The sequence below is a fragment of the Homo sapiens genome, chromosome 20 (assembly GCF_000001405.40).
Source record: "Homo sapiens chromosome 20, GRCh38.p14 Primary Assembly".
Lineage (NCBI taxonomy): Eukaryota > Metazoa > Chordata > Mammalia > Primates > Hominidae > Homo > Homo sapiens.
In genome coordinates, this window is record NC_000020.11 from 29,760,245 (window position 1) to 29,767,046 (window position 6,802).

At 49.7% G+C, this 6,802-nt stretch overlaps 1 long non-coding RNA gene and 1 pseudogene across 1 annotated transcript, besides 1 other annotated feature; both read left to right on the forward strand.

The window, feature by feature from the left end:
* Positions 1-6,802: part of a centromere (Linear centromere model derived predominantly from reads generated in PMID: 17803354. This region does not represent an actual centromere sequence, as long-range ordering of repeats and unmapped WGS contigs is not provided by the model. For details of model production, see http://arxiv.org/abs/1307.0035.) that runs on past both edges of the window.
* Positions 1,376-2,342, forward strand: DUX4L36 (double homeobox 4 like 36 (pseudogene); annotated as a pseudogene).
* On the forward strand, positions 2,377-6,565 carry LOC124904968 (uncharacterized). Its single transcript, XR_007067752.1, has 2 exons — positions 2,377-2,646; positions 3,130-6,565. It is a non-coding gene; the product is annotated as an uncharacterized LOC124904968 (long non-coding RNA).

The window sequence follows — 6,802 nt, forward strand, 5'->3', positions numbered from 1 at the left end:
AACATCTCCACCTGGAGTAGATTCCATCTCAAGAAAATATTTTCTTTGCTCATCCATAAGAAGCAACTCCCCAGTTGCTCAAGTTTCATCATGGGTTTACAGCAATTTAATCTCATCTAAAGGCCCTAATTCTAATTCTGGTTGTCTTGCGACTTCTACCACATCTTTAGGGACTTCCTCCCCTGACATCCTGAGCCCTCAAAGTCTTCCATGAGGGCTGGAATCAACTTCTTCCAAACTCCTGTTAATGTTGATATTTCAACCTCCTCCCATCAATCACAAATGTCCTTAATGGCATTTGCTATTAAGGATATTTGTGATTCATGGGAAGAGGTTGAAATATCATGAAGGGATTAATGGTGAAACCTTTCCAAAAGGTTTTCAATTCAGTTTATCCAGATTCATCAAAGAAATTACTATCTATGACAGCTATACCTTTACAAAATGCATTTATTATTTAATAAAAACACTTGACAGTCAGAAACACTCCTTGATCCACAGGCTGAAGGATAGATATTGTATTAGCAGCCATGAAAATAACATTAATTTCCAAGTACATCTCCATCTAAGCTTTTGGGTAGCTAGGTGAATTATCCATAAGCAGCAATATTTTTCCTTTTTTCTTTTCTTTCCTTTTTTTTTTTTTATTTTTGGCCTTTATGTAGTTTCCCTCTTGTTGCCCAGGCTGGAGGGCAGTGGCATGGTCTTGGCTCACTGCAACCTCCGCTTCCAGGGTTCAAGCCGTTCTTCTGCAGCAGCCTCCCAAGTAGCTGGAATTACAGGTACCACCACCATGCCTAGTTAATTTTTTTTGTATTTTTATTAGAGACGAGGTTTCATCGTTTTCACCAGGCTGGTCTTGAACTCCTGACCTCAGGTGATCCACCTACCTCCGCCTCCCAAAGTGCAGGGATTACAGGTGTGAGCCATTGTGCCTGGCCAAGCAGCAATCCCTTTAAAGAAATCTTGTTGTTGTTGTTGTTGTTGTTGTTGTTTTTTCTGAGCAGTAGGTCTCAATAGTGGGATTAAAGTATTCAGTAAACCATGCTGTTAACAGATGTGTTGTCACTCAGACTGTGATGTTCCATTTCTAGAGCACAGAAAGAATAGATTTTGCATAATTACTAAAGGCCCTGAGATTTTCAGAGTGGTCAATGAGCACTAGCTGTAACTTAAAGTCACCAACTGCAGTGGTCCTCAAAGACAGTCAGCCCATCCTTTGAAGTTTTGAAGCCAAGTGTGGACGTCTCTCTAGCGATGAAAATTTTACATCTTCACTAAGCTTAATCATTGCTAGCTCTGGACTTCAAGTGAGAGACATGCAATTCTTCCTTTCATTTGAGCTCTTTGAGGCCACTGTGCTTACTAATTAACACCCCCGGCGGGTGTCATCCTCCTCCCTCCTCAATCGAGTTCACCCACACCGGGGCATGGGGAACGGGGCTTGCCGCACCCCACACGCCCTGCACGCCTGGGGCTCTCCCACAGGGGGCTTTCGTGAGCCAGGGGGCAAGGGCCGTTCCCCCGCTCCAGCCCAGCCAGGCTGCGTAGGCAGAAGGCATCTCTCAACCTGCCCCGGCACGCAGGGATTTTGTGTTTGCTGCCCTGGCTCCTCTAGAAGTAGGACTGTACCACCCTCAGATTCCTCGTTGGCCTCCGCACCCCAACAAATGCCAGGAGGTCCAGTACCCGCAGCACGGCAGCCTGCTGGGTGCATGCTCAGTGGGACAGCTTGGGTACCCTCAAGCTAAGTCACAGGGGCAAAGTGTGTTTCCGCCACCCACGTCCCACCGGAGTCCGCGGTGGGGCTGGAGCCCCAGGTCGCCAGGGCGGCGTGGGAAACCGAAGACGGGGCACCTCCACTTCCGAAGCTCGCGACCCCAGAGGCCTCCGCGTCAAGCACATATGCAAGCCATCCAGGCGCCTCCCAACCCCTCCAGGAGCCGGGGCGCTCGTCTACACTCACCCCCAGACAGTTAGATGAGCTCCTGTCAACCCCAGAGTTTCAGCAAAAGGCACAACCTTTCCTAGATCGAGCGCCACTGCGGGGAGCTGAAGGACGTGGAAGAGCTCGCTCTGCTGGAACCACTCCTTAGCCAGGAAGAACACCGGGCTCTGCTGGAGGAGCTTTAGGACGCGGGGTTGGGGCGGGGTAGGGGCAGGGCGGCGGCCTCTCTTTCGCGGTGAACCTCTGACTCGGTATGGAGAGGCGTGTCTTCCCTTCCAGCTGACCTGCCTAGGATCCCTGAGTTCCAGGTCCCGTGAGAGACTCCACTCAGAGGAGGGCTGTCATTCTTTTCTGAGCATCCCGGGGATCCCAGGGCCCGTCCAGGTACCGGGAGGCGGACTGTCTACTGCTCATGCGCGGGCTAGCAGGCAGTAGCCTAGGTTTTCTAACTAGCCTAGGTAGAGTTCTCATCCCTTCCCTCTTGCCCCCCACTGCGTTCTTCAGTGGGGTGGGCGGAGACCTCCATCCCGGGAAACACTGGCCCGGGCAGGCGCCAGATCTGCTCTTCTTTCCGCGTCTCTCCAACTCTGCCTCCCCCCCACACCGTCACTCGCCTACCCTTGTCCCGCCAGCTTCCTCGGCATCACCATGGAGCGCCTGACAGCTAAATGCAGACCCGAGACCCCGCGCAAACCCGGGTGCTGCCCTTTCTATGCGGGAGGGAACTCAGGCAGAGATGGGGAGAGGAACGGAGACAGAGAGGGAGGGAGCGATGAAGGGAAGAAAGAACGGATGGACCGAGGGACCTTGGAAAGGATGGAGGGATAGAAGGAAGGAGAGAGGGAAGGAGGGAGGGAGGGAGGGAGGAACTGCGGGAGGGACGGAGGGAAAGAGGGAGGGAGGGAGCAAGAAACAGAGAGAGGAAGGCAGAGAGAAAAGCAGTCTTCTGCCTCCAGGACCAGCAGGATCTCTCACTCCGGGAAAATGTTGGGTGCCCAGTGCAGGCTAAGTGCTCGGCCCACAGCCGCGTCGGCCTGCGGGGCTCTCACCTGCCCACTGGATCGCCAGCCTGGGTTACTTCATCCGGGAGCGATTCAGAGGATTTCCGCCTCCCAGGGAATGAGCGAATTCCCCAAAGAACAGAGCAGAGACTTGAATGGTTGTCCGTTTTTCATCCACAGGGTTCACAGATGACATATCCCCATGCTGAGCCTGCAACAGAGCGCAAGGCAGATACTCCCACCCACACAGGAGTCACACTCAAGCCGAGTGAGCCAAGATTCCGGATTCCACGTTCCTTTGCCCTCTGCAAGGGGTCCTGCTGCTCACGTGTCTCTGGCCCCCAAAAGCGTGACCATGTTGACTGTTTGTTTCCCGAGCTCTGTGGGGACACAGAAACCTCCAGCGAAGCATGGAAACGCAGCATCGTGTCTTCGCTCTCCTTTCGTTTCCAAACAGGCCATTTTGGAGACTCCCCATGTTGCAGGAAACAGGAATCCCTCATCAGTCCGTGATGACTCAGTCCCCTGCCCAGACTACAGGCCCACCAGGCGGCCTCCCTTTTGCTGACACTCCAGGCCTTCCCCCGGCTCGCGAGCTCCCGAGTTTCCAACACATCGGGCGGGCTCAGGACAGGGTGTGCTTGGAGGCCTCAGGGCCCGGGGCCCACAGTTCTGGGATCCCCTCTGGTCCTCCACCTTGCCGCGGAAAAATTGTTTTGGATCCCTCACCACCCCTCCTGCAAGGCCCCCTCTTGGCCCACACACCCAGAGCCGTCAGGGTTGCCCAGGGGCGAACAGCCGGCCCAGCCCCGCAGGACCTTTTTCTCACAATGCCCACACCATCATCGCTTGTCCCGACGAGGACCCGCCCGTGGCCAACGGGACAGGAAGGGCCTGCTTTGCCCCGCGCTGGCACTAAAGCCCCGGCAGCCTGATCCCGGGAAAGGGGCTGACGGACACCCAGACACACCCCAACACTACTACGAGCAAACCCACCCCGACACACACACAGGCACACATGGACACACACACAGACACACACACACACACGGACACACAAAGACACACACACGGACACATGGACACACGCACACGGACACACACGGACACACACACAAGGACATACAGACAAAGACACAGACACAGCTTGAAAGAGAGCTAGGGAGACCGGGATGGAGAGATAGAAATGCGGGGAGAGAGAGAAAAGTAGAGGGGGAGAGAGACAGAAGGTGACAGAAGAGCGAGAGTTGGAGGGGGATGTAGAGAAAGGGAGAGGGTGAGGAAGTTGTAGAGCGAGAGAGACACAGCCTTGGAGAGGGAGGCTCTGCTCAGGTAGACAGGGCACTTTGAGCAGGCCAGGGTGAGGTGGAGGGTGCTTGGGCCAGGCTAGAACACGGGGTCAGGGCCGCCCACGCGGGAAAACCAACGGAGCCCTGAGACGTGTTTTTTTTTTTTTCTTGGATTGGTTGGTTTCTTTGGAGGTGCGTTTCATATGGTCCTTCCTTTGTTTGCTTCTTTCTGTCTCCTTGATGCGGTGGGCCCCGAGATTTGTAGAGTGCACCCGTCCAACTGGTGGAACTATAGCACCGAGCTTGTCCACGGGGCCAGGTCTGGGTCTCTCTCGTGTCCTCGGGACTAGAGTTTACACGACATTGGTGGCAATGGGAAACAGGGTGCACAGGGACGGATTTCTTCGTGGCTGGCGAAGACAATGTCCTTCCCCCGGGGAAAGCAGCCCACGGGTTCTGGAGCCGAGGTCTTGGCTGGCAACTGTGGGACCTGCTGCCCCAACTTCGATGGTTGCGGCGGCGCTTGATGAATGAATTGAATTGCCTGGGGTCCGGGGAGCGGGAAGACACCCCGGAGGGCAGGAAACCCGCACCTGCGCCTTCCAGGTCTACTACCTGCTGCAGCGCCCTGGCTGGAGCCGGGCTCCTGGTGGGGCTGCAGCCAGGCAAAAGAGGTGGGATGCTGCCACCTGGCGGTATTGCAGCTGCAGACCCCCACGAGGAGGTTTCATCTCGACATAAATCGTTTTCTTTCTTCAGCTGATCTGTATCCCTAATTTTAGATTAATGGTAACTCCACAAATTTAGAGGCACAAAATATGGTTGCCCACACCTTATAATCGCATTACCACCTCCCATTACCACCACCTTTCCCGCTCCTCCCCACCCTCATCCCGTAGACTAGGTCTCGCGATGTTTCCCAGGCTGGCCTCAAACTCCTGCGCTTAAGTTATTTGCCTGCCTTGGCCTCTCAAAGTGCTGTGATCAGCCCTGTGAGTCACCATGCCCAGCCAACCACCACGAAGTTTTGATTCAGCAGCACTGGGTTGTGGAGCTAAGGACCCACAAATTTAGAAAAGTTTTTAAATATCATAACGTTTCTGTGAGGAAATAGTATTTGGTATTACATTTTTAGACTCTTTTATAATGTTCTGGTTTTTTCCACTGAGTACAGTACTAAGTAGTAATTGGAAAATCACAGCATAAGTCATATTACTTTTTCTAATACAGAGTACTTGGCTATTCTCTAAGCTAAACCTGATCACCTACATTGAGTAAAAGAAAAAACCCCAGAGTGTGAGGAGACAGGAGATAGTAGCCAAACATCCAAATAGGTGGGAGTGAATAAGGCAGATGACACAGATGAGATGACCAAAGGTCAAGGAGAAAGCCAGATCCTAAAGTGTGGTTTGCGAAGCTATGCTCCAATGGAAATCTTTTCCGAGAAGCCCTGATTTCTTTCTCTTGCTTTCATTAGAGACAGACATCTTCTGCCCCTTGCTCTTCAATTTTCTAGGACTGGACTTCCCCTTCAACGATCATTCTTCTAGGTTACAAAGAAAATCAAAGCCCTTTGCATGGCTTACAAGGGACTGGAGGACCTGGCTGCTTGCTGTTTTATTGCTTTTGAGGACATGGGGTCGTTTGTGATTTTTAAGGAACTCTATGTTAAACATTTTCTAATTTCCATTTTGAGTCTTGTCTAAAATGTGTGAGAGTAGTGGAGATATTGGGATTTGGTTTAGAAATCCCAGAAACACCACATCCAGATGTCGTATGTTTTCTGCTTTATAATTTCATATCCTGTGAAGGTTTCAAATGTGATTCTACAGAAATTCATACTCAATAATTTAATCAGAACACTAAGCCTCTGCCCCATATAATAAAACCAAATATTATCTTACTTCAAAATTTTAAGTTTTTGGTATGTATTGAGGCTAACACTGTAAACACTCTGTGCCATAATTCCTAAACTGTAATACGGTTTAATGTATCTACTTTCTACATTTAAAACATGTACTTTGCCATTGAGGAACTTAGAATATTGCTGAGCATGTATTAAATACCCATTTTTTTCTTGATTTTTAAATAGTTATCATTTTATAGTTTTCTCTTGTTTAGTTTGAAGCTTACTAGGATTTTTGTCATTGATATGTATGTGTGTATATATATATATATATACACACACACACACACACACAAGTATTTACATAACATATGTAATTGATATATATGTATATGTTTTATATATGCTTTATGCACACTTATGGGAATATATGCATGTGTACATAACATTAATTTTTTGACCAATAAAAATTACATAATTATGTATTGTGTATATTACAAAAGTTTGATAGGTATATATATTGTAAAATGTTTAATACAATTAAGTTGATGAATATTTATGTCACCTTACATGGTTATGTTTTTTGTAGTGAGAGCATTTAAGGTCTCCTACTGTTGTAGCAAATTTTAAGCATACAAAACACTGTTATTAACTACATTTTAAAGCTATACCTTAGACCCCCAAAACTTATTTATCTTATAACTGAAAGTTTGTACTC